This window comes from Homo sapiens, chromosome 9 (assembly GCF_000001405.40).
Source record: "Homo sapiens chromosome 9, GRCh38.p14 Primary Assembly".
NCBI lineage: Eukaryota > Metazoa > Chordata > Mammalia > Primates > Hominidae > Homo > Homo sapiens.
This window is the reverse complement of record NC_000009.12, coordinates 129,899,754-129,926,626: the sequence shown is the minus strand read 5'-3', so window position 1 is coordinate 129,926,626 and position 26,873 is coordinate 129,899,754. Positions and strand designations below refer to the sequence as shown.

General features: G+C 43.9%; 1 protein-coding gene across 39 annotated transcripts in view, besides 2 other annotated features; it reads left to right on the top strand.

Moving 5' to 3' along the window:
• Positions 1-26,873, top strand: part of FNBP1 (formin binding protein 1) — a 166,693-nt gene that overhangs the window by 127,253 nt on the left and 12,567 nt on the right. For 4 of the 39 annotated variants that reach the window (NM_001439055.1, NM_001439042.1, NM_001439051.1 and 1 more), the window contains 6 exons: positions 1,470-1,667; positions 2,601-2,783; positions 17,628-17,737; positions 23,626-23,758; positions 26,080-26,201; positions 26,526-26,662. In NM_001439055.1, coding sequence (NP_001425984.1) covers positions 1,470-1,667; positions 2,601-2,783; positions 17,628-17,737; positions 23,626-23,758; positions 26,080-26,201; positions 26,526-26,662 — 883 coding nt within the window. Of the gene's footprint in view, positions 1-1,469; positions 1,668-2,600; positions 2,784-7,384; positions 7,469-10,646; positions 10,662-17,627; positions 17,738-23,625; positions 23,759-26,079; positions 26,202-26,522; positions 26,663-26,873 lie in introns of all 39 variants that reach the window. The other 35 variants (XM_011518401.2, XM_017014492.3, XM_011518399.4 and 32 more) reach the window with 21 other exon arrangements.
• Positions 15,783-16,077: a silencer, noted in NCBI's record as "tiled region #1290; HepG2 Repressive non-DNase unmatched - State 10:DNaseD". NCBI's record gives its function as "represses a minimal TATA promoter and a strong SV40 promoter by Sharpr-MPRA in HepG2 cells {active_cell/tissue: HepG2}" and the evidence as "EXISTENCE:reporter gene assay evidence [ECO:0000049][PMID:27701403]".
• Positions 25,845-25,964: an enhancer, noted in NCBI's record as "active region_29128". NCBI's record gives its function as "activates an Ori minimal core promoter by ATAC-STARR-seq in GM12878 lymphoblastoid cells {active_cell/tissue: GM12878}" and the evidence as "EXISTENCE:reporter gene assay evidence [ECO:0000049][PMID:35858748]".

Genomic DNA, 26,873 nt, shown 5'->3' with positions numbered 1-26,873 from the left:
GTGTGAACCACTGCACCCGGCCAAAACAGGGTTCCTTCAGCACTTTTGACATTATCTCAGGCCAGATCATTTTTCTTGTTGGGGGCATTTCAGAATGTTTAGCAGCATCCTGGCCTCTACCCAGCAGAGGCCAGTAGCACTCCCCGAGTTGTGACAATCAAAAATGTCTCCACACATTGTCACATGTCCTCTGGGAGGGCAAAAGCTTCTCTGGTTGAGAATACTGCTTTAGGGCAGTGTTCTCCATTTGAATTCCTAGAGACCTATTTCTCAAAAAAATATAAACTAGAACACCAGCATAGGCTTTTACTGTTAATTTGAAGACACAAATATTCAACATAAAAGTTATGCTGCTGGCTGGGCACAGTGGCTCACATTTGTAATCCCAGCACTTTGGGAGGCCGGAGCGGGTGGATCACTTGATGCCAGGAGTTCAAGACCAGCCTGGCCAACATGGTGAAACCACATCTCTACTAAAAATACAAAAATTAGCTGGGTGTGGTGGTATGCCCCTGTAGTCCCAGCTACTCGGGAGGCTGAGGCACGAGAATTGCTGGAACTCAGGAGGCAGGGATTGCAGTGAGCCAAGATCACGCCACTGCACTCCAGTCTGAGTGACAGAGCGAGACTCTGTCTCAAAAACAAACAAAAAAATCAGAAAACAATAGTTCTAAATTCTAAAAGCTCGGATGAAAAGCTCAAATGATGGCTTTTGAGAAGAATGAAAAAAGCTGGCCAGCTGTGGTGACTCAAGCCTGTAATGCCAGCACTTTGGGAAGCCGAGGCAGGCGGATCACCTGAGGTCAAGAATTTGAGACCAGCCTGGCCAACATGGCGAAACCCCATCTCTACTAAAAATACAAAAATTAGCTAGGCATGATGGCACATGCCTGTAATCCCAGCTACTCGGGAGGCTGAGGCAGGAGAATCGCTTAAACCTGGGAGGCGGAGGTTGCGGTGAGCTGAGATCACGCCACTGCACTCCAGCCTGGGTAACAGATTGAGACTGTCTCAAAAAAAAAAAAAAAAAAAAAAAAGCTACTAGGAAAAAAGTTATTATCAATCAGTACAATTTCGTTAGTTATCATCTGTATGAGATCATCATAATTCATTGTTTTTTTGAGATGGAGTCTCACTCTGTCGCCCAGGCTGGAGTGCAGTGGCGCGAGCTCAGCTCACTGCAACCTCCGCCTCCTGGGTTCATGCCATTCTCCTGCCTCAGCCTCCTGAGTAGCTGGGACTACAGGCGCCCGCCACCACGCCTGGCTAATTTTTTGTATTTTTAGTAGAGACGGGGTTTCACCATGTTAGCCAGGATGGTCTTGATCTCCTGACCTCGTGATCCACCCGCCTCTGCCTCCCAGAGTGCTGGGATTACAGGCATGAGCCACCGCACCTGGCCAATTCATTGTTTAAAAAGTGTTTGCATGCTTCTGAATGTATTTATATGCTTGTGGGTATAATTTCAGGATTCACAGCTGGTAATAGAAGCTTATAAATCAGGGTTTGAGCCTCCTGGAGACATTGAATTTGAGGATTACACTCAGCCAATGAAGCGCACTGTGTCAGATAACAGCCTTTCAAATTCCAGAGGAGAAGGCAAACCAGACCTCAAATTTGGTGGCAAATCCAAAGGAAAGTTATGGCCGTTCATCAAAAAAAATAAGGTACTGATGGTTGGCGTGAAATGAGTTTTCTAAGGTGTGGAGATTTTGACTTGATCTTTTAGTCTTAGAAAAACTAAGATCCTAAACCTGTAGTTTCAGAATGCAAAAGAAGAAGCTAGTGTGCTACCTTATGTTGAGACAGTATTTCTTTTTGGTGGTGGTATCTTTGCCATGGCCCTGTGTCTTATTTCAGATGCATTATCCTCGTACCGTGACTCCCACACTAACAGAGTACTGACCTCTCCACCGTTTCGCCTCATGCCTTTCCCTCCTTCCTCTCCTAGACTGCTGGTTACCTTGGCTGGGAGAGAGGATGTAGTGGGACATTCCTGTAACACTTTATCCGCACATCTACTGGAAATCGTTACCATGTTAATAACTTGGTTTTGAATTCATGTTAACATGTGTACCCATGAACATTTTTCATTTTCTTTTCATAGTGCGATACATAGGTGCATGACAGCATTAACCTGGGGACGTAGAATATGATCAAGGCAGCATTACTGCTTTAACTTTAGAATGACTTACTATTTATTAATTTAAACAGACTGCTGTTTCCACAACCTTAGCATTGAAGGTCTTTCATTTTCTCCCATCAAGCTATGTTAGTTTAGGTAATGTAGAAATATTTACCCTCTGGCTTAAGCTGGTTTAGAGTAACTAACTAGAGCTATAGTTTGCATGGGAAAGTCTGCACGAGCTTCTTGTCAGATATTTCTTGCTCTTCTGTCGCATTACTTACTAAACCTCCCAACTCTCATCATATTCTTCATTTAACCACCTCCTACATGTTTTCTTTTGGACCATGGCCTAAAATTTAATTGTTTGTGTTTTACTTGCGTTGGATTTCAAATATTATTTGATGCTTATTTTTGTTTTGTGTCTTCTTGTTTCTGATTTTTACTCTGTCACGGCTCCATCTCTTACATGTAGCTTATGTCCCTTTTAACATCCCCCCATCAGCCTCCCCCTCCCCCTCCTGCCTCTGCCTCACCCTCTGCTGTTCCCAACGGCCCCCAGTCTCCCAAGCAGCAAAAGGAACCCCTCTCCCATCGCTTCAACGAGTTCATGACCTCCAAACCCAAAATCCACTGCTTCAGGAGCCTAAAGCGTGGGGTAAGTTCTGCTCCGGAATCCTGTCTCTCTGGCGTGCTTTGGTTGCATGTTTGGTTCTGCATAACTAATTTTGTTTGTGAATGAATCCATTGTGTTTTCCCATAACATATAAAAAAGTTAAAAAAAAAAAAACAAAAACCATTATAGCTAGAAAGAAAAGCCAGAAAGAGGAAGAAAGAAAGAAGGAAGCATGGTGGTTGGAAGAAAGGAGAAAACCAGACAGCCCAGAGTTCTTTCTATTTGTTTCTTTCTTTTTTTTTTTTTTCCAGACAGAGTCTCGCTCTGTCACCAGGCTGGAGTGCAGTGGCGTGATCTCGGCTCCCTGCAACCTCCACCTCCCGGGTTTAAGCGATTCTCCTGCCTCGGCCTCCTGATTAGCTGTGATTACAGGCATATGCCACCACGCCCAGCTACTTTTTATATTTTTAGTAGAGACAGCATTTCATCATGTTGGCCAGGATGGTCTCGATCTCTTGACCTTGTGATCCGCCCGCCTCGGCCTTACAAAGTGCTGGGATTACAGGTGTGAGCCACTGCGCCCGGCCTTTTTCTTTTCGTTTCTAGTACATTTTGGAAGGACTTTACCCCTCTTCCTCTTTAAAGCATCCAAGTCATGCATTTTCTACCTTAATTTTACCAAAAAAAACCACTTAGATTTCATTTCTAAAACTAGCGACCTGAGACTGGGCGTGATAGTTCACATCTGTAATCCTAGCACTTTAGGAGGCCAAGGCAGGAGGATTGCTTGAGCTCAGGAGTTCAAAACCAGCTTGGACACCATAGTGAGACCCCCATCTCTTAAAAAAATATATAAAAATTAATAGGACAAGCGCAGTGTCTCATGCCTGTAATCCTGGCACTTTGGAAGGCCGAGGCAGGAAGATTACTTGAGCTCAGGAGTTCAAGACCAGCCAGTACAACATAGTCAAACCCCATCTCTAAAAAAAAATAATAAATAATAAAAACATAAAACTAGCAACCTATGAGATGAGGAATTGGAAGTCACTGTGTAAGTCAGAAAATATTGCCTTAATAACTACTGAAGCAATGTGAGTGTAATGAAGATACTTGCCTGAGCTATGCCTCAGGGTCGAAAGGAGAAGAGTCATAAGTCACAGTGGTTTCATTCGCTATTTTAGTGAGATTATATAAGATGTTGATAAAATATCTGTTGATTGGAAGGGGCCTGATGCAGAATTTCTCTTTAAAGGATGAAACAATAAAAGCAGCTGACACTTACTGAGCACTTATTGTGTGCAAAGCTCTGTTCTGTGTGCTCATTTACTTTTTTCCAGCCACCCTATGAAGCCCAGGTAGTACTCATATTTCCTTATTTTACTGTAAGGAAATTGAGGCATAAAAAGGTGAAGGTGGGAAGATACAGAGCCGGGATTTAGATCCGGGGAGTCTGATTACAGAGTCTGAGATTCTGTGACATCCACATTCAGGGAGAAACTACTATATTGACTCGTAAGTGGTTGTTATTAAGATTGAAGTCCGCTGTCCTCATTAAGATTGATGTGCGCTTACATCATAGAGATAATGGAATTGATGCAGCCATCCAATGTAGATACCAGTTTCGTTTACAGAGAAAGATTGGCATAAAGCAATGTGTAGATTCCCAAATCATTCTCAATGGCCAGTCTAGTCTAAGCCTTCCCAAAATATCTTTTATAATGAATATAATGAGTAAACAGATCTTTAGACTGGGCCCAGTGGCCCACGCCTGTAATCCCAGCAGCGTTAACATATCCAGTAAGGTTTTCTCCTTTTTTTTTTTTTTAAATCCTACCCTGTGGGAGTTGCAATACAGTTGTAGTGGAATGCTTTCTTGTACAAACATAAGTTTTACTTTTCCCTTCTCCTGGACTCTCCAGTCAACTGACGGTTGGGTTACTTCTTTCCAAATAGTACCTGGTAGTGCCCCAAAGCCAGAGGTGGATGCCATCCTTTCTTGAGTGTCAACTGACACATTGGCCTGGGAAAAGATTCTAAACTACAACTAATTAACTAGAGGAGAGATGTCCTTCTTAGACTTGGAATCAACAGCTGGTTACTAGTAAAAGAATAACAGTAGTCATTGTTAACCTGACAATCGTATTTCCACAAAAACAACTCTGTGTAAAAAAGAGGCCTGGCACAGTGGCTCATGCCCGTAATCCCAGCACTTTGGGAGGCCGAGGAGGGCGGATCACCTGAGGTCAGGAGTTCGAGACCAGCCTGACCAACATGGTGAAACCCCGTCTGTACTAAAAATACAAAAATTAGCCGGGCATGGTTAATGTCCGGCTAATTACAGGCGGGTGCCTGTAATCCCAGCTACTCGGGAAACTGAGGCAGGAGAATCGCTTGGACCTGGGAAGTGGAGGTTGCAGTGAGCCAAGATCACGCTATTGCACTCCAGCCTGGACGACAGAGCAAGACTCTGTCTCAAAAAAGAAAAAAAAAAAACCCATGAAAAAATAGCCAGGCATGGTGGCATGTGCCTGTAGTCCTAGCGGAGGCTGGGATGAGAGGATTGCTGGAGCCCAGCCAGGGCAACAGAGTGAGACCCTTTCTCCAAAAAAAAAAAAAGTAAAGAATGTAAATTCATAATTGATAACAAGTTTATTATCAATGCTTTTTAAAAATAGGGGACAAAACAATATTTCCTCACATGCAGAGTTCTTTTAATATGAGAATCTCAAATTTATAGTTGGTAGAATTATCTTGAATTATCTTGCTTTAATGCTATCTATCATATCAGGTTAAGAATTAGAAATGTAATTTCCTAAAGATGTGAAAAAAGCCGTTGGTGGAAGGCAGAATACAGCTTCAAAAGTGGATGATGGATTGAGCTGAGATGTATAATTAGGACTTGAGTAATCTGCAGCTTCTTGGCTCAACGATGCTGGCGTTTAGAACTCCACTCATTGTTAATCCAAGAATTTCCAAGACAAGGGTGTTTTTGCTAGACTGAAAGTTTCATATGAACTGTCAGTTAACCCATCTCTGCCGCTTTACCAAGCACTCATGTGTTATATTTATATATTATCTCTGTATTTTTTTGGACTCTCATGATGAATATTCATGATTGTTTACCATTTGTTTATGTGTCTATTCCAGTTTTCTCTTAACATTACACAGTCTGTTGGCCAAAAATGGTTTGTGAATCTGTGGTTCATGATATTCTCTAACTATTTAGAAAAAGACCAAAGAATTCAGTAATCAATAAATGTAAGAAAAGGATGGTTAGAAAAAGATAAGCTGGGCGTTGTGGCTCACACCTGTAACCCCAGCACTTTGGGAGGCTGAGGTGGGTGGATCACGAGGTCAGGAGTTTGAGACCAGCCTGACCAACATGGTGAAACCCTGTCTCTACTAAAAATACAAAAATTAGCTGGGCATGGTGGTGCACACCTGTAATCCCAGCTACTTAGGAGGCTGAGGCAGGAGAATCACTTGAACCCAGGAGGCAGAGGTTGCAGTGAGCCGAGATCATGCCACTGCATTCCAGCCTGGGTGACAGAGTGAGACTCCGTCTAAAAAAAAAAGATTAACACTTAAAACAGTGAAATGGGAATCGGAAACTGGTTCTTTTGATGATTTAAAGGAAAATCTCTGTTTTACCATAATCAGCAGTATGAATTTTATTTCTTACTCCTCAAACGTGTGCTCAGCAAATCTTTGTTAAAAAAAATTTCCCAAATGATGTGTTTATTTTCCTGAGGTTAAACCACATACATATACCCACTAGAAGCAATCGTAAAGAAATAGAGAAATAGTTTTGCTTCCCTCACTTTTGGTCATTCTGTTCTTAGGGTCAGAATTAATGTTCCTTCCTCTAGGACATAGCAGTGCAAAAAAAGAGGAAGCACAAGCTCAAAAAGCAAATCTAAAGTTTGGAGAAATAGATTTCATTTTTAAGCAGTCTCAACATGGATCTTGCATGGGACATCCATGGCATGGCTGACAGCTTCCGTGACCAACATGGTACAGCCCTTCCTACCTTCTCATTTATTCTACTTTGTAACTTAACAGCATTATGCCAACGATAATTTAACTAGAAAAAGTTCCTGAGAGAATAACAAATCTGTGATTTTATTATGTCTTTTATCATGTTTTGCAGCTTTCAGATTCAGATGTCAATAATTTGTTTCTATGATCAGAGTATATAAATCCCATGCAAACATATCTCAGCATAACTGATTTTGTTTCTAAATAATTAAACAGGATAAAATGTTATTTGTTGTAAGCTGTTGACATTTGTAAGGAAATTTTGTTTCACTGAATATGTTTAGAGATGCCGCCAGAACATTAACCATTGTTTCATTTTTATGTAAGTTGAAGAAAAATGAAACTAGATAGCATGTTCTCCATTTGCAGTCTACAAAGGGGAATTTTATTGCTTAAATTAAAGTTTCATTTTCTGGCCTGTGCAAGAGACTTTTATATCTAAAATATGGATGTACGTTTTTCATATTTTAGAGTTCATTGTATGGAAAAATACCATCAAAGTTGACCGAAAGATTTTGAAAATCCTTACCAGTTGTTTGTCATATGTTAAAGTCTTATGGTTAATTTTATTTATTTTATCTTGTTCTCTTGCTGGTTATTGGCAGACTCAGTCTTTCTGTTTTCACAAAGAACTCATGAAGAGGACGATAGGGAAACCCACGTATGCCTTTGAGGCTAGGGACTATGTTGTAAGTTCACCTGTGATGGCCAGGTCATACAGTCATGGCACAGCCACTAACCCCATTCACAGCACCAAGACTGGGGACCCAGAGGCACTTGTTATGCTTCCACACTACGAAATGAAATTCTTAATTGAGAGAACTGGACACCAGGAAAAAAAAAAAAAAAGAAAAGCCTAATTGTATAAATTCAACCATACGGAACTTTATCCGAAAAGCTTGCATGAATAAAGGAAGCAAACTTTCTAATAACAGTGGTGAGCTGAGCTTGTTTTTTTGTTTTTTTTTTTGTTTTTCTCTTTTCATTCTAGTTCTGGTAAAATCTTTAAAGGGACTGTGACTGCCGTCTGAGATGTCATTGGGTATGACTTTACCGCAGAATTTCACGCATAAAACACAGCTGCAGTGCGTGGTCACGGGAGAGTGACGCTCTTACAGACGGCAGTGTAGCTCAGTCACCCATATCCATGTTTGTAACAAATGGATCCATAAGGGAGTTATGCCCTAAAGCTTGGAGAACAAACAAACAAATCAAGGAAGCGTGAGCGATCTCCTAGCACAGTAAAATGATTTTGCTTCTCTCTATATATATTTATTTTCACTGTCCCCTTTCTTTGTACTTGAGGTTAGTACTGTGACTGTCCAATAACACATGGACTCGCCTGGGCTGTGTTCCCCATGTGTTATTGACGCTTGTGGCTCCCACGGCTCTTTAACTGTCGCCTGAAACTGACAGCTTTTTAATTCTTCAGGTGTCTAGCAATGCACTTAATGAAATCTTCAAAATTATTATTTTAGCCAATGATTTCGCTTTCTAATTTTAAGAGAAATTCTAATTGGCTGGCTTACAACTTCAGACTGAAAACCAGTATATAATGATTAAAAAGAAATTCCACGTACTGTGATGGCACTTCTTGTATTAATAGATCATCCATCACAAATAAAGTCGAATTTGTCTGAGAATTTGGTATTTCCTATTCAATGGGGATTTCTGTTCAATCCTAATGACTCGTTTTTACTATGAAGTGTTAATAATCTTCCTATACAATATTTTGAGGTGAGAACTCTGTCTGTGGAATGCTTAAGAAAGAATATATAACTTTGCGTAAAGAAAGTAGCCGAGTAGAGAGCAAATAGTGTATCTAGTTGAAATGTTAGTTCTTTGAATTAGCAATGTTTAGACAATAATGTGTGAGAAAATATCTGTATATGATAGTGTGCCTTGTAGGAAAGATACTTGGAGTTTTCTGCTGTGCACCATAAGTCTTGTCTGTGCGTACAATGAATTCCAGTTGTGATAAGTAGATCTATGCTCAAGTTCACAGGCGGGCTGGAATCACTGTAGACTGCCCATGTCAGACAGTCAGGAATGTGACTGTATGTACCATTTTCCCCCTGCAAAAGTTTGTCTTTCTGGTTCTTTCCTTTAAAATCTCATGTTTCTATATAGGGACAATTTATTTAAAAGGTTATTTTTTATTTACAAGGAAGTGTCAACTTTGAATCAATCTTAAATTAAGAATTAGTTTTTTAGGCTGTGTGTGGTGGCTCACACCTGTAATCCCAGCACTTTGGAAGGCTGGGGTGGGTGGATCATTTGAGCTCAGGAGTTCGATATCAACCTGGGCAACATGGTGAAACCCCCATCTCTACCAAAAAATACAAAACTTAGCTGGACGTGGTGGCACGTACCTATAGTCCCAGCTACTCAGGAGGCTGAGGTGCGAGGATCATTTGAGCTCTAGAGGTTGAGGCTTCAGTGAGCTGGGATTGTGCCACCATGCAACCTGCCCTGTCTCCAAAAACAAAACCAAAAATCAGCAAATTGATAAGTAAATAAATACTTTAAAAAGAGCAGTCACAGCTGGGCACAGTAGCTCACACCTATAATCCCAGCACTTTGGGAGGCGGGCGGATCACGAGGTCAGGAGTTCAAGACCAGCCTGACCAACAAGGCGAAACCCCGTCTCTACTAAAAATACAAAACATTAGCTGGGCGTGGTGGCAGGCACCTGTAATCCCAGCTACTCAGGAGGCTGAAGCAGGAAAATCGCTTGAACCTGGGAGGCGGAGGTGGCAGTGAGCCGAGATTACGCCACTGCACTCCTGCCTGGGCGATAGTGTGAGACCCTGTCTCAAAAAAAAAAAGAGCAGTCACAGTGGATAATTCTCCAAATAACCCCTGTGGACAGGGCTGAGTTTCATAGAAAGCATCAGCAGACACCCTCCACGGAGCAAGGGGTGGCACACACTTCTCGGGTGGGAGAGAATGTTGGCCTCTAGCCTGGCTGCGAGAGGCATTCTGGGTCCTGCAGGTAGTTTCTTAGAGCAATGCTAGTCAGCCCTTTGTTACCAATTCACCAATTTCAGACTTTGCCTTCATGTCAATGTTTATATTTATTAGAGCTCCTTAAGATTAAAATATTACTTTCCTGTCATGGAAGTAATTGGTGTTCAGACTTGTTTTCGTCTGTATAAAACTTTCCATGGGAAATTTGGAGAACAAAAGGTTGTGTGATTATATTTTTTCTTTTTTTTTTGTTTTTTTTTTGAGATGGAGTTTCACTCTTGTTGCCCAGGCTGGAGTGCAATGCGCGACCTCAGCTCACTGCAACCTCCGTCTCCCAGGTTCAAGCGATTCTCCTGCCTCAGCCTCCTGAATAGCTGGGATTACAGGTGTGCACCACCACACCCGGCTAATACTGTATTTTTAGTAGAGACAGGGTTTCTCCGTGTTGGTCAGGCTGGTCTCGAGCTCCCGACCTCAGGTGATCCACCTGCCTTGGCCTCCCAAAGTGCTGGGATTACAGGTGTGAGCCACTGCACCCGGCCCTGTATTTTTTCTTTTATAGTCATTATGTGTCACTGACTATAAGCTTACTTTAATTTACATCTAGGCTGAGGTGGCCAGTACAGGCCTGTAACAGAAACCCTCCTTTTCTATCTGATCTTTGGCTCTGGCAATGTGGAGCCTAAGAAAAATGTTATTAGGGAGCAGCCCTTCTTGTGAACTTTTGCACAGATCTGCTACAAGTCATTTTTATAAATCAGCGGGTAGACGTGTGTGTTATTTTAATATGGCGGAACTGACCAAGTTCCTCTTCTTCTGATGTGTTGTTGTTTTTTTTTCTCTTTCTCTCTCTCTTTCTCTCTATTTTTCCCATACCTCTCCAATTTTTACATGAAGCTTTCTCTCAAGCTGGTAAGCACAATTGTTCCATGCATGTCCTGAGTCTAATCAGGTTTTCTGGCGTGTCTTTTATGAATGCTATGCCATGCACAACGTATCTTCAAAGTTAACTTGGTTTGTGTTTCTCTTACGTGTGCTTTTGTTGGTGTTTCCTTATTAGACTTCTTGGATACAAAGGTCCAGAATCTAATAGAGGTGATCTTAATCTTTTCAAGTTGCTAAGAAAATTAACATTTAACTCACGACTTGGTGTTATTCCTGGGGCCTTGAGAGGAGGACAAATGTTAAAGTGTCTATATAAATATTAACGTAAAGGCCGGGCGCAGTGGCTCACGCCTGTAATCCTAGCACTTTGGGAGGCCAAGGTGGGTGGATTGCCTGAGCTCAGGAGTTCGAGACCAACCCGGGCAACACGGTGAAACCCCATCTCTACAAAAAACCAAAAAATTAGCCGGGCGTGGCAGCGTGCGCCTGTAGTCCCAGCTACTTGGGAGGCTGAGGCAGAGAACTGCTTGAACCCGGGAGGTGAAGGGTGCAGTGAGCCGAGATTATACCACTGGACTTCCAGCCTGGGTGACAGAGCAAGACTCTGTCTCCAAATATATATATATGAACGTAAATATTAAATCTTGGGGGGTGTCTGTTGGATCATTTTGAATAAAAGTAAATTAATAGTTGAAAAATGTTGCTATTAGAGAACCATAGAAGTAGATGAAAAAATCTGGGAGCCTGGAGGAGCTGTGCAGGAATGATCCCAGCCAGCAGCTGCTACCCAGGTTTGAGGCCACCTGTGGGAATGGAAGACTGTGGAATCTTTATGGTGCGACGTAGATATGTTGGTGCCTTGTGCATAGCTGATTCAAGAGGCCACAAGATGATTTCATGGACAGTGAAAAGAGCCTCCTAAGCCTTTTTAGAATTATTCACTCAGTGTTTTGTGTCGTTTCTACTTAATTGTATATGCCTAGTCAACAGTCAAACTAATCATTAAATTTATTAAAAGTAACTAACATAACCTATAACTATACTTCAAATATGTATAATAGTTTCATAGTCTTCTCAAACTCCACAGCTAAGAATATCCTAAAATAATGGACAGTGATCAACTGTGACAGTTCTACTAGGAGTAAGATCAGCACTATAAGCACACTATTGATAACCTAGGATAGTATTTTATGGTGAGATATATATATATATATATATATATATATATATATATAGACATATGTATGTATATACATAATTTTTTCAACATGACTTAGTATTTGGTAATGGACCCAACCTTAAAGAAAAAGAGTATTTTATTAAATTAAATAAACATTTCTTAGGCTGTGAAATAAAATCCTGAGAAGAGTCTTTGATTAAGGTCTCTACATGAAGGAAAGAGATCTAGATACTTAAATGAACTACAAGTTCATCTGCAGTATGAACTTGGGAGAAACTGGATCTATTGACTAGGAGGCCTTCTCAGCTGCCAGGGTTTCCTTATTTCCCTTTATTCATTGTTTGTCTGGGTGCTAGGAGCAAAAGGTAATATTTTTAGGCAGTCTTTCTGTTTGAAATACAAATTATTTTACCAACTTGGTATTGAATTGTTGCTTTATATCATTACCTTGAAGGCAACAAAGAAGTGAAGCGCTGGCTGGGCACGGTGGTTTGTGCCTGGAATCCCAGTGCTTTGGAAGGCTGAGGCAGGAAGATTGCCTGAGCCCAGGAGCTCAAGGTTGCAGTGAGCTATCATTGCGCCACTGCACTCCAGCTTGGGTGACAGAGTGAGACCATGTCTGAAAAAAAAAAAAAAGACAAAAGAAAAAAGATGTGGGACCAGGTGTGGTGGCTCACGCCTGTAATCTCTGCACTTTGGGAGGTGGGGGCAGGCAGATCATTTGCGCCCAGGAGTTCTAGACCAGCCTGAGCAGCATGGTGAAACCTGACTCTACAAACAAATACAAAAATTAGCCAGGCATGGTGGTCTGTGCCTGTGGTCCCAGCTATACTGGAGGCTGAGGCAGAAGGATTGATTGAGCCCAGGAGGTTGAGGCTGCTCCAGCCTTGGGTGATAGAATGAAACCCTGTCTCAAAAAAAAAAACTATAAAACAAAACAAAAAACCCAAAATCTGAAAAAGTAGTATTACACGGAGCTTGTGCTATTTTGGGGTGGGGGGAAGCTGTCAACAAGCAAGGGTTTGATTTTTTTTTCTTTTAGGAGACAGAGTCTCGCTCTGTCCCCCAGGCTGGAGTGCAGTGGCGCGATCTCGGCTCACTGCAACCTCCACCTCCTGGGTTCAAGCGATTCTCATGCCTCAGCTTCTCGAGTAGCTGGGATTATAGGGGCGCGCCACCACACCCAGCTAATTTTTGTATTTTTAGTAGAGACGGGGTTTCACCATGCTGGCCAGGCTAATCTCGAGCTCCTGACCTCAGGTGATCCGCCCACCTCAGCCCCCCACAGTGCTGGGATTACATGCGTGAGCCACCAGGCCCGGCCAGGTTTGATTTTATTAGTACATAGAACAAGCTTCTCTTACAGAACTCCAGCCACTTAAAACATAGGTACATGTGTATGACCCTCTCTTCCCATACCAACTCCTCCTGTTATGGCCTGTCTTTGTTGTTTTCTTATCTATTTATAAGTTATCAGTACAATGTGTTTTACTGATAGATTTCTTTGCACCTGTTTATACACCTGCACAGAGGCTAAAGCTGTTGTCCAGTGTGGTAGCCACTACCATATGTAGCTATTGAGTTTTTTGTTTTTGTTTTTGTTTTGAGATGGAGTCTCGCTCTGTCACTGAGGATGGAGTGCAGTGGCATGATCCTGGCTCACTGCATCCTCCGCCTCCCGGGTTGAAGCGTTTCTCCTGATTCAGCCTCCCGAGTAGCTGGGATTACAGGCAACTGCCATCATGCCTAGCTAATTTTTGTAGAGACAGGGTTTCACCATGTTGGCCAGGCTGGTCTTGAACTGACCTCAGGTGATCCGCTCACCTCGGCCTCCCAAAGTGCTGGGATTACAGGTGTGAGCCACCACGCCCAACCGCTGTTGAGTTTTAATTAATTAAAATTAAATAAATTTTTAAAAATTCAGTTCCACAATTTCACCAGCCACATTTCAAATGCTTCACAGCCACACATGGCTTCTGTGTTGGAAAGAGCGGCCATAGAACATTGCCATCACTGTAGAAAGTTCTGTTGGACTCACAGCACATAGCAAGGCTCAGCACATATTAACGAGGTGAATGTTGACCACTTGCCAGATTTTGTGACTTTTTTTTTTTTTTTTTTTGAGATGGAGTTTTACTCATGTTGTCCAGGCTGGAGTGCGCAGTAGCGCAATCTCAGCTCACCACAACCTCCACCTCCCGGGTTCAAGCGATTTTCCTGCCTCAGCCTCCTGAGTAGCTGGGATTACAGACGGGCGCCACCACGCCTGGCTAATTTTGTATTTTTAGTAGAGACGGGGTTTTTCCATGTTGGTCAGGCTCGTCTCAAACTCCCGACCTCAGGTGATCCACCCGCCTCGGCCTCCCAAAGTGCCAAGATTACAGGCATGAGCTACCGCGCCTGGCCTAGATTTCCTGATTTCTGAAGCAGTGTATCTTAGCATTGTGTTTTGCTGTATTCCAGCTTTTAAAAAATTCTCAGTTCTGGAAAACATGCTCATTTGATAAAACTCAAACCGTTTTTCCTCTGCTGTTCCACTATGACAATCAACAGAGAAGATTTCTGTGACCAAATATGTGGAGGCTTCCGCTATATATCAAGCAGCAGACACTAGCTGGGTGTCCTTTAATTCAATTCCATTCTGATGCTATCTACCTGGAGATAGTGGCTGATCCTGGGGGTTGAGGGCTCAGTCCTGAAGGACTGCCCCCTCCTTCCCACCAGTCGCAAGTCCAGGCTTCCAGGACTTCTGATGGACTAGCTTCAAGTTGGGGTTCCCCTGACCCTCTCTTTGGGTTCAATTAATTTGCAGGAGCAGCTCACAGAACTCAGGGAAACACTTATATTTACTGGTTTGTTTTTGGGTTTTTTTTTTTTTTTTTGAGACAGAATCTCGCCCGTCGCCCAGGCTGGAGTGTAATGGCGTGATCTTGGCTCACCACAACCTCCGCCTCCCAGGTTCAAGCAATTCTCCTGCCTCAGCCTCTCAAGTAGCTGGAACTACAGGCGGGTGCTACCACACTCGGCTAATTTTTTGTGTCTTTAGTCGAGACAGAGTTTCTCTATGTTGGTCAGGCTGGTTTCGAGCTCCTGACCTTTTGATCTGCCTGCCTCAGCCTCCCAAAGTGCTGGGATTACAGGCGTGAGCCACTGCGCCTGGCCACCACATTTACTGGTTTATTACAAAGGATATTATTAAAAATACAGATGAAGAGATGCTTAGGGCAAGGTGTGGGGGAGGGGGCACAGAGCATCCATGCCCTCCCCGGGCAGCCACTCTCTAAGAATCTCCCCAAAAACCCTGTCCTCTTGGGCCTTTTATGAGACTTCATCAGATAGACATGATTGAAGCATGGACAACCATGTGGAAATGAGATTGGTCAGAAACTGCCTGATCGCATCCTAATAGATCAGGTAGTGACACCCAGCAGGGCCTGTCTGTGCAGATTCTTCTTGGCCTCCCTGTGCAGCCTTCCTTCCTTCAGGGTATGGGGCACGATCCTCATGAAGCCTCTTGAATGAGGATCATATGGCCACAATCAGAATCCTGCCTTGGGCAGGTGAAAGAAGGGCACGTGGAGGTCAGATAGAGAGATTCTGTTTTCTGAGGTCGAAAGTGCTCTGATATTTTAACAAAAGACTGTAGCAAGAGGCCGCGCATGGTGGCTCATTCCTGTAATCCCAGGACGTTGGGAGGCCGAGGTGGGCAGATCGCCTGAGGTCGGGAGTTCGAGACCAGCCTGACCAACGTGGTGAAATCCATAATCCAGAATAATCCAGTTTTCAAATAAATATTGTAGCACCATAGTATACGGAAAACAAGTCTTTATTTTTATATTAAAGGTTAGTTTTGCTTCATCTTAGATTTAGAGTCAAACTTCTTTGGTTTGCTATTAGGAATAGTCACTTCCATTCTGGTTTCACTCAACTCTTATCTCACACACATACACACACACACACACACATTAGAGAGTCAGTCAGTGTGTCTGATGGGTGTGTCTTTGAGAACATTAGCTGAAAGGTCTTTGCGTGGCCTTTTGTGGTCAACTATTTGCTGAATCACACACTTCCCAGCACATCACCCTGGCATTTTATCATAATCAGCCTAGGAACCCAGTCATAAGCCCACATGTAAGCTGCTTGGCAAATGCAACTTGCTTCTGGAATTACATTAACTGGGTCTCCTCTTTCTACCCTGCCCCAAGCCTGCCTTGCCCTTGTTTCAAAAGAATTGAGGGTTTAAAGTAAAATCTCTTTTCTAAATGCCCTGGCTTATCCCTGGTTATTTGAAGAAATTTCTCTCTCTCTTTTTTTTTTTTTTTTGTTTTTTTGAGATGGAGTCTCGCATTGTCGCCCAGGCTGGAGTACAGCGGCACGATCTCGGCTCACTACAACCTCCGCTTCCCGGGTTCAAGCAATTCTCCTGCCTCAGCCTCCCAAGTAGCTGGGATTATAGGCGCTCGCCACCACGCCCAGCTAGTTTTTTATATTTTTAGCAGAGACGGTGTTTCACATTGTTGGCCAGGCTGGTCTCAAACTCCTGACCTTATGATCCACCCACCTCGGCCTCCCAAAGTGCTGGAATTACAGGCATGAGCCACCGTGCCCAGCACGAAATTTCTCTCTCTTTATGAACATAGCCTCACTTAAGTAAAAGCACTTGACATCACAATTTAGCCAGAGCTTTCTAACAAGTAAGCATATGTCAAAGCCTGAAACTGTTGATACTTTCTCCTTAAAGCTCATGCACAGTGTAAAGAGAGCAGCTGCTTCTGAAAAGGGAATCAAGATATCAAAATGCAGTTCTTCTGACAGATTAAAAACCGCGGAGATGAGTTTCGTACACTGTGGAAAACTGATTTTGAGGTCAGGGAGGGCATTCTCTCTGAACTCTGAGAGGCTTCCTAAAGGCCTAAAAGAAGTCACTAGGCTGGGCGCGGCGGCTCATGCCTGTAATCCCAGCACTTTGGGAGGCCAAGGTGAGCAGATCACCTGAAGTCAAGAGTTAGAGACTGTGGAAAATTAGCCGGGCGTGGTGGCACATGCCTGTAGTCCCAGCTACTTAGGAGGCTGAGGCAGGAGAATCGCTTGAACCTGGGTGGCAGAGGTTGCAGTGAGCTGAGATCGCACCACTGCACTCCAGCCTGGGCAACAGAGTGAGACTCTGTCTCAAGGAAAAAAAAAAAGTAACTAGACTTTTAGAGGCAGCAGAGGGAGGTGTGCATGGGGTAAGGAGAAGAGATTTTTTTTTTTTAATGTTCTTTTTCACCCACATTCTCTGAGGAATGTGATGTCCCATCTGTCACTTTACAGGGGTGGAGACTTTTGGCCTCAGCCTGTGTGAAGAGACTGGCAGGAATACTCACGCTAGGGAAAAGGCAGCAGCTAGGCGTGCAGTGGTTGATGGGGTTTGTATTAAGGAAACATAAATTTCATTAACACTTCAGTGTTGCCACTGACATTGATGGTAACACTTGGTAGGAAAAGGAAGAAGACTGTCTCAAAATGTGTTTTTCATGGATTCTCCCTAGAGTCAGAAGTATCTCTTACTCTCCTTTACTGTAGCGTTGCTCACTGCTTTTTCTGGGGCATTCTGGCCAGCATCCATGGAACTGGGAATGGTTTATGGGACTTATGCAGTTTGCATGCATTGATTTTTGCATCTCGGCTGGGTGTAGTGGGAAAGAGCTTAATCTATTTCATGAAGCCACATGCAGATGTCTGCACCCCCCATGGCTGCAGGCTTTGCTTTCAGCCTTCTTTCAAGGAAAGCCTGGGGCTTTCTGGTTTCTCATTTATATTTGTGTCTGCAGGGTGCAACACCGGAGGATTTCAGCAACCTCCCACCTGAACAAAGAAGGAAAAAGCTGCAGCAGAAAGTCGATGAGTTAAATAAAGAAATTCAGAAGGAGATGGATCAAAGGTATAGTGCATCAATATGACTTATTAAGAAATTCAAGGCCAGGCGCAGTGGCTCACAACCTGTAATCCCAGCACTTTGGGAGGCTGCGGTGGGTGGATCACCTGAGGTCAAGAGATCAAGACCATCCTGGCCTACATGGTGAAACCCCGTCTCTACTAAAAATATAAAAACTAGCCAGGTGCAGTGGCACACGTCTGTAGTCCCAGTTACTCAGGAGGCTGAGGCAGCAGAATTGCTTGAACTCAGGAGGCAGAGGTTGCAGTGAGCCAAGATCATGCCACTTCACTCCAGCCTGGGCAACAGAGCAAGCCTCTGTCTCAAAAAAATAAAAAATAATAATAATTAAAAATAAAATAAAAATTAAAAGAAAAGAAATTCAAGTTCAGGCTGGGCATGGTGGTTCACACCTGTAATCCCAGCACTTTGGGAGGCTGAGGCAGGAAGATCGCTTGAGTCCGGGAGTTCAAGACCAGCCCAGGCAACATAGCAAAAACCCTAAAAAAAAAAAAAAGAAAAAAACTAGCCAGGCATGATGGTGTGCACCTGTAGTCCCAGCTATTTGGGAGGCTGAAGTGGAAGGATCACCTGAGCCCAGGAGGTCCTGGCTGCAGTGAGCTATGATCATGCCACTGCACTCCAGCCTGGGCAACAGAGTGAGACCCTATCTCAAAAAAAAAAAAAAAAAGAGAGAGAGACCAGCCTTGGCAACATAGTGAGACCCCATCTCTACAAAAATAAACAAAAGTAGCTGGGTGTGATGGCACACCTGTAGTCCCAGCTACTTGGGAGGCTGAGGTGGGGAGAATTGCTTTAGCCTGGGAGGTGGAGGCTGCAGTGAGCTGTTTGCTTAAGAATCAAAACCCAGCTGGGCACAGTGGCTCACACCTGTAATCCCAGCACTTTGGGAGGCCGAGGCGGGCAGATCACAAGGTCAGGAGATCGAGACCATCCTGGCTAACACGGTGAAACCCTGTCTCTACTAAAATTACAAAAAATTAGCTCGCATGGTGGCGGGCGCCTATAGTCCCAGCTACTTGGGAGGCTGAGACAGGAGAATGGCATGAACCCGGGAGGCGGAGCTTGCAGTGAGCCGAGATTGCGCCACTGCACTCCAGCCTGGGTGATGGAGCGAGACTCTGTCTCAAAACAAAACAAAAAAATCAAAACCCATTTGCCATAAAGCAGAGATGCCATAGAGGAGGAGGGCCTCTGTGAGGGGAAGGTGCATTCATTAAAACAGCTGTAGGAAAAGCCAGTCAAATAACACACACACACACACACACACACACACACACACACACACACACACCCTCACTCCTAGCAAGAGCTAAGGATCTGTCTCAAGAGGTATACCACTGCATTCCACCTTGGGCAACAGAGCAAGACCCCGTCTCCAAGAAAAAAGCACAAAGTAGGATGATAGATGTTAAATACCAAGCACTCCAGATACCCTGGGGTCAAATCTGGCTCTATCAGTTACTACTGCTGATGTGTCAGTGTGCATAACATGCTTGGAACCGTGCCTGGCACATAAGTGTCTGCGAAATAAAATGAATCAATATGTTAAAGGTAAACAAACTACGTGTTTCAATTAAAAGATATTCTCAGAATGGACCAAAAAATTAAAAACCCAATACACAAAGCAATGTATGCTATCTACAAAAGACACATCTAACTTATAAGCTCTAGAAATGTAGAAGTAAAAAAATGGGAGAGAAGATATACCATGCAAGGGCCAATCAAAAGGAAACTGGTGTTACAAGGCTGGCTTTTGGGCTGAATAAAAGGAAAGAAAAAAAAAAAACGTGCTTGGGCCAGGCGCAGTGGCTCACGCCTGTAATCCCAGCACTTTGGGAGGCGGAGGCGGGCGGATCACGAGGTCAGGAGATTGAGACCATCCTGGCCAACATGGTGAAACCCCATCTCTACTAAAAATACAAAAATTAGCTGGGAGTGGTGGTGTGTGCCTGTAATCCCAGCTACTAGGGAGGCTGAGGCAGGAGAATCCCTTCAACCAGGGAGTCAGAGGTTGCAGTGAGCCAAGACTGTGCTGCTGCACTCCAGCCTGGCAACAGAGCGAGACTCTGTCTCAAAAAAAAAAAGTGCTCAAAGTTAGTATAGAAGACTTAAATTATACATTTAGTAACATTGACCTAATACATAAACATCTAACAACTGCAGGGCACACACTGTATTAGCCCATTCTCATGCTGCTAATAAAGACATATTTGAGGCTGAGTAATTTATAAAGAAAAAGAGGTTTCATGGACTCATAGTTCCACATGGATAGGGAGGCCTCACAATCATGGCGGAAGGCAAAGGAGGAGCAAAGGCATGTCTTACATGGTGGCATTCGGCAGAGCTTGTGCAAGGGAACTGCCCTTTATAAAACCATTGGAGCTCATAAGACTCACTATTACGAGAGCAGCCTGGGAAAAACCGCCCCCATGATTCAATTACTTCCCACTGGGTCCCTCCCATGACACATGGGGATATGGGAGCTACAATTCAAGATGAGATTTGGGCCAGGGCACAGCTAAACCATATCAACACTCTTTTCAAGCCCACATAAGAACATTTTCAAAATTGAGTATATCTTTGTTTCACAAAGCAAATCTCAATAAATATCAAAGGAAATGTATCATTCAAGCTATATTATCTATATTCTGCAATTAAGCTGGATACCAATAACAAATATTAAGAAATTGGCCAGGCGCGGTGGCTCATGCCTGTAATCCCAGCACTTTGGGAGGCTGAGGCAGGCAGATCACCTGAGGTCGGGAGTTCAACACCAGCCTGACCAACATGAAGAAACCCCATCTCTACTAAAAATACAAAATTAGCCAGGCGTGGTGGCGCATGTCTGTAATCCCAGCTACTCGGGAGGATGAGGCAGGAGAGTCGCTTGAACCCAGGAGGCAGAGGTTGCAGTGAGCTGAGATCGCGCCATTACATTCCAGCCTAGGCAACAAGAGCAAAACTCAGTCTCAAAAAAAAACAAAAAAAAAAAGAAATATGCCTCTAAATAAGCCACAAACTAAACAAAAAATCATAGTAGATATTAGAAAGTATATGAAATAGAATTGAACTTTAACATACATTCTATATATAGTTTGTGGGATGTCCTTAAAGCCACGCATATAGAGAGATTTATTGCTCTGAATGCATATTAAAAACAGAGGTAAAAATCACTGAGCCTTAGCTCACTTAGATCCTCACTTACGATCTATCTCAAGAAGTCGGAAAAAGAACAGCAAATTAAGCCCAAAGGAAATAGAAGCGGCTGGGCATGGTGGCTCATGCCTGGAATCCCAGCACTTTGGAGACTGAGGTGGGTGGATCATCTGAGGTCAGGAGTTCAAGACCAGCTTGGCCAACATGGCAAAACCCTGTCTCTACTAAAAATACAAAAATTAGCTGGGCATGATGGGGCGCCTGTAGTCCCAGCTACTCAGGAGGCTGAGGCAGGAGAGTCGCTTGAACCCGGGAGGCAGAGGGTGCAGTGAGCCAAGATCATACCACTGCATTCCAGCCTAGGCGACAGAGTAAGACCCTATCTCAAAAATAATTAACAAAATATATATATATATATATACACACACACACACACACACAATTCAACAGATCCAAAAGTTCTTCCTTAAAAAGATCAATAAAGTTGATAAACATGTGGAAAGATTGATTAGGAAAGACTGGGAGGAGAGAAGCTAAAGATAATGGATATAGACAACTCTGTTGAGGGCTTTTGCTGAGAAATAGGGAGGTAGTGGGAGGTGTGGGCCATGAAGTCAAGAGACGAGACGGGTTTCGGAAAGGACATCATAAGGGTGGACAACATTACACTTGGCTTGTCATGTTTGTTATTTGTTAAATAAATAAATGTTTATTTAAACATTTTTAAGAACATTTAACATTATTTAAAAATGTTTAAAAATTATTTATAAACATGATTTTTAAATGTTTATTTAAATATGTATTTATTTAACAAATATTCATTGAGCATCTACTATGTGCCAAGGATGGCTTCGACACTTGGGATCCATCAAGTTAACAATGTAACTTGAGCTCATAGAGCTTCCTCCAAGAGCTTCCATTGTAACAGGAGGAGACAGACAGTGAACAATAAGCATAATAATAATGAATGATGCATGCTGTGGGAAAGAAGGCAGGAAGGAAATAAGGAAGATAGGAAGGAAGGAAGAGAGGAAAGAAACAAGATAAAGCGGCTGGAAGTCCAAGTGGGTCTCAGCCTCTTAGGTGGAGGGTGGTGAGGACTTGTAGAAGCTCTCTTCCTGTTATTTCTATATTTTTAGTTAAACTATTTCTCATGACTCAGAATGTATCTTTTGGTTTGTCTTTTGGCCTTCTATTGTATTGTATGGCCTGCTTTGGATTTTCTTTTGCTGACACTCATCAAAGTTGGCCCTTAACCCTGGCAGTCATTTGCTCTAAATTTTTAATGACTCGAAGCCTACCAAAAGTGCCCTGCAACAAGGGTAAAATTAGTAGAGCTCTTTGGTCTTCAACCCAAACATGCCCCAAACTTCTCTAGGGATGCCTGCCCGGGCTACCATGGGCTGCTTCCAGACATGATTTCAGGAAGGATGTGGGATCCACAGTGTGTAGCTTTAAGGCTCTGTCACTTACCTGTCGTGGATACCAACTATGGATTCAGTTTCTTAACAGTGGAAATGGGTGTGTGTTAACATTTCCAAAGCAATTGACTGTGCTTCTTCGTCAGGTGAGCACATGCAGCCCGTGAGACCCAGGATGCCAGCTGTAGCTTTGGTTTGCATGAAGAATGCACACGTGGAAATATTTGGGGGTTTTTGTTTGTTTGTTTTGTTTTGTTTGAGATGGAGTCTTGCTCTGTCGCCCAGGCTGGAGTGCAGTGGCGTGATCTCGGCTCACTGCAACCTCCACCTCCTGGGTTCAAGTGATTCTCCTGCCTAAGCCTCCCAAGTAGCTGGGATTAAGGGGACATGCCATCACGCCTGGCTAATTTTTGTAATTTTAGTAGAGACGGGGTTTCACCATGTTGGAAATACTTGGGTTTTGAAGCCAGATTCGGTGGCTCATGCCTGTAATCCCAGCACTTTGGGAGGCCGAGGCAGGTGGATTGCTTGAGGCCAGGAGTTCAAGACCAGCCTGGGCAACATGGCAAAACGCAGTCTCTACCAAAAATACAAAAATTAGCCAGTCTCATAACCTGGTCTCAAAAATAAATTAATTAATTAAAAATTTTTAAAGTATTGGCTTTTATTTATTTATTTATTTTATCTGTGTGGCAAAGGGAAGGGCAGGATTAATTTATGCTTCTCAGTTATTGGGGACAATAAGGAGATAACCATTAGAGAAGAGAACTGAAATTGAAAAATCAGCTTCTTTATTTATAGCCATTGGTAGCAGAATTCCTATAGAGAATTTCCAGAATGGAAGCTGGCCCAATAGTCCCTTATCCATACTCTAATCTTCCCACGTTTCCATTCATATGGCTTTCAAAGTGGTAGAATATTGGCTGATAAGAGTAACCTTTGCCGGGTGGTGCGGTAGCTCACGCCTATAATCCCAGCACTTTAGGAGGCTGAGGCAGGCAGATCACCTAAGGTCAGGAGTTCAAGACCAGCCTGGCCAACGTGGCAAAACCCCATCTCTACTAAAAATACAAAAATTAGGTGGGTGTGGTGGCATGCACCTGTAATCCCAGCTATTCTGGAGGCTGAGGCAGCAGAATTGCTTGAACCCTGGAGGTGAAGGTTGCAGTGAGCCAAGATCGTTGCAGTGAGCCGAGATCGCACCATTGCACTCCAGCCTGGGTGACAAGAGTGAAACTGTCTAAAAAAAAAATGGAGTAACCTTTACAGCATTCTACTCGTTCTTTCTTTCAGAGATGCCATAACAAAAATGAAAGATGTCTACCTAAAGAATCCTCAGATGGGAGACCCAGCCAGTTTGGATCACAAATTAGCAGAAGTCAGCCAAAATATAGAGAAACTGCGAGTAGAGACCCAGAAATTTGAGGTATGAAACTTCTGTTGTGGAAAGCTTTGTTGGAAACGAAGAACAGGTGTTCCTCGGTGTAGAATGGTGTGGGGCCCTGACGATCCTCTCACTGGGAGGTACACAGTGGGAATGGCAGGCTGTTTCAGGAGTTATGGTCAAAGGAAAAATACACTCTTCGCCGTTGAACATTCTCCTACTCATCATAGCCTATCTTAATCGTGGCTGTAAAACCTGACAATGTTTAATGTTGTATCTGTATACGGTGCGGGGTTGGCGGGGTTGTTTTTTAATTTTAGAGACAGGATTTTGCTTTGTTGCCCAGGCTGGAGTACAGTGGCATGCTTGTAGCTCACTGCAGCCTTGATCTCCTTGGCTCAGCCTTTGAGGAGCTGGGATTACAGGCACATGCCACCATACCTGGCTAACTTTTATTTTTCAATTTTTTATTTGTTTTAGAGTTGAGGTCTTGCTCTGTTGCACAGACTGGTCTTGAACTCCTGGCCTTAAGCCATCCTCCCACCTTGGCCTCCCAGAGTGCTGGGATTACAGCTGTGAGCCACTGTGAGCCACTGTGCCTGGCCAGTATTTTTTGTACTTTAAGTTATTCTGCTTCATCTCATGGTAATAAAATTGGGAGTATAGAGCGATCCGTTATCCCAGTGAATCAAAGAAGCAATGAAAAAAATCCCCTGAAATATACAATTGTTCTCTCAGCAGGCCCATTATGGAAAGGGTGTGTGTGAGAACCAGCAGCAAACACAAAGGAGAAACAAGCAGGAAACATAAATAATCAAAGCTTGAGGGAGGGAGAGGAGCACTCAAAAGCTGTCAACAAAAGCCTCCTGAACCCACTCTCCCTACCACGTTTAAAGACTACAGAGCATGGAAAAATACATTAGCAACCGATTCTACCAGTCAGAATAGATTGTTTCCAGCAATGAAGGGTCAACTATGGCTTTTTTCATTCTTTTTTTTGAGATGAAGTCTCGCCCTGTTGCCCAGGCTGGAGTGTAGTAGCGTGATCTCACCTCAGTGTGACCTCCACTTCCCAGGTTCAAGTGATTCTCCTGCCTCAGCCTCCTGAGTAGCTGGGACTACAGGTGTGTACCACCACACCCGGCTACTTTTTGTATTTTTGGTAGAGACAGGGTTTTGCCATGTTGGCCAGGCTGGTCTCGAACTCCTGACCTCAGATGCTCCACCCACCTTGGCTTCCCAAAGTGCTGGGATTACAGGCGTGAGCCACCACACCTGGCCAGCTTTTTCCATTCTTTTCAGAATCCATCATTAATGTTCATTTGAGCATTTAGAACTTAGAACGGTCCTTTTCTTATTATTATTCTTTTTTTTGAGACAGAGTCTCGCTCTGTCACCCAAGCTGGAGTGCAGTGGTGCAGTCTCGACTCACTGTAACCTCCACCTCCTGAGTTCCAGTGATTCTCGTGCCTCAGCCTCCCGAGTAGCTGGGACTACAGGCATGTGCCACCATGCCCAGCTAATTTTTGTATTTTTAATGGAGATGGAGTTTCACCATGTTGGCCAGGCTGGTCTCGAACTCCTGACCTCAGGTGATCTGCCCACCTCTCCCAAAGTGCTGGGATTACAGGCGCTCACCACCACCCCCAGCTAATTTTTGTACTCTTAGTAGAGACAGCGTTTCACCATGTTGGCCAGGCTGGTCTGAAACTCCCAACCTGAAGTGATTCACCCACCTCGGCCTCCCAAAGTGCTGGGATTACAGGTGTGGCCACCGCGCCCGGCCTTCTCGTCATTTTTATTCCTTTGACTTGTTTATACTGTTTCAAATGCTGAAGGTCATTTTATCTACTTTAATTTTTAAGTACAAGTTTCATTTCTATCAAAAAAAAAAGTTACACTCCTAAAAAATAGGAAGTGTGGCTTTCAAACTGAGTCACTGCTTTAAGCATGGCTGTACCTTCAGGTATCACAGGGCGACCTCATGGTCAAGAAGGAACTAGAAGTGACTTATCCAAGACTGCACTGCTGCTTAAAAGCCCAAGGGGATAGCATAGTCCAGTGTGCTTTCTGCCCCATCGTGGGCAACCACATAAATATGAGTTTGTTTCTATGTCTCCAACTTCGGGTGAAATGGAAGCAACCGTCCTTCAGTACATTTGAACAGTCGAAGGCAGAAAACGTGGCCATTCTGCCCCCACGTGGACTTCCTCACATTGGGTTAAATGGCCAAGAGTAGCCCCTGAGTTTGGGACCTTAGGATGCTCCGGGCTGGCCCTCAGATGGCCTTTGGGACCTTAGGACACTCTGGGCTGACCCTCAGATGGCCTTAGGTTGGAGTCTCTCATTGCTTTTGTCTCCAGGCCTGGCTGGCTGAGGTTGAAGGCCGGCTCCCAGCACGCAGCGAGCAGGCGCGCCGGCAGAGCGGACTGTACGACAGCCAGAACCCACCCACAGTCAACAACTGCGCCCAGGACCGTGAGAGGTACAGTATCTGCACAGCGCCTGCCTCTGGCAAGGGAGCCTGTTGGCTTTGTATTTATTTCTAAATTTTGGAATCTGGAATGACCATAAGGCACTTGTTCAATGCCAAAATGTCTGTTGCGATTGACCTGTCACTTTTTCCATGATGCAGATTTATAATTCCACATGGGATGGGTGATCTGAGCGTGCGATGATTTACCATGGCCTCAGTTACAGCACTCGCTGAGGGGCGGGGTTGCAAGTGCTCTCCAGTCGCAGGGACTCAATCTGAGTCCTCCCTGGGGTCAGTCGCTTTAGTTGCTTTGTGTTTTCCTTTCTTGAGCAGCCCAGATGGCAGTTACACAGAGGAGCAGAGTCAGGAGAGTGAGATGAAGGTGCTGGCCACGGATTTTGACGACGAGTTTGATGATGAGGAGCCCCTCCCTGCCATAGGGACGTGCAAAGCTCTCTACACATTTGAAGGTGACATTTCATGTCTGCTGGATTCCCCTGCCTTTTATAAACCATAATATCTGAGTTACTCTTCTTTCACTTTTCCTTCCTTCCTTCCTTCTGATCATTTTTATTCCTTTGTCCTTCCTTCCTTCCTTCCTACCTTCCCTTCCCCTTCCCCTTCCCCTTCCCCTTCCTTCCTTCCCTTCCCTTCCCTCCCTTCCCTTCCTTCCCTTCCTTC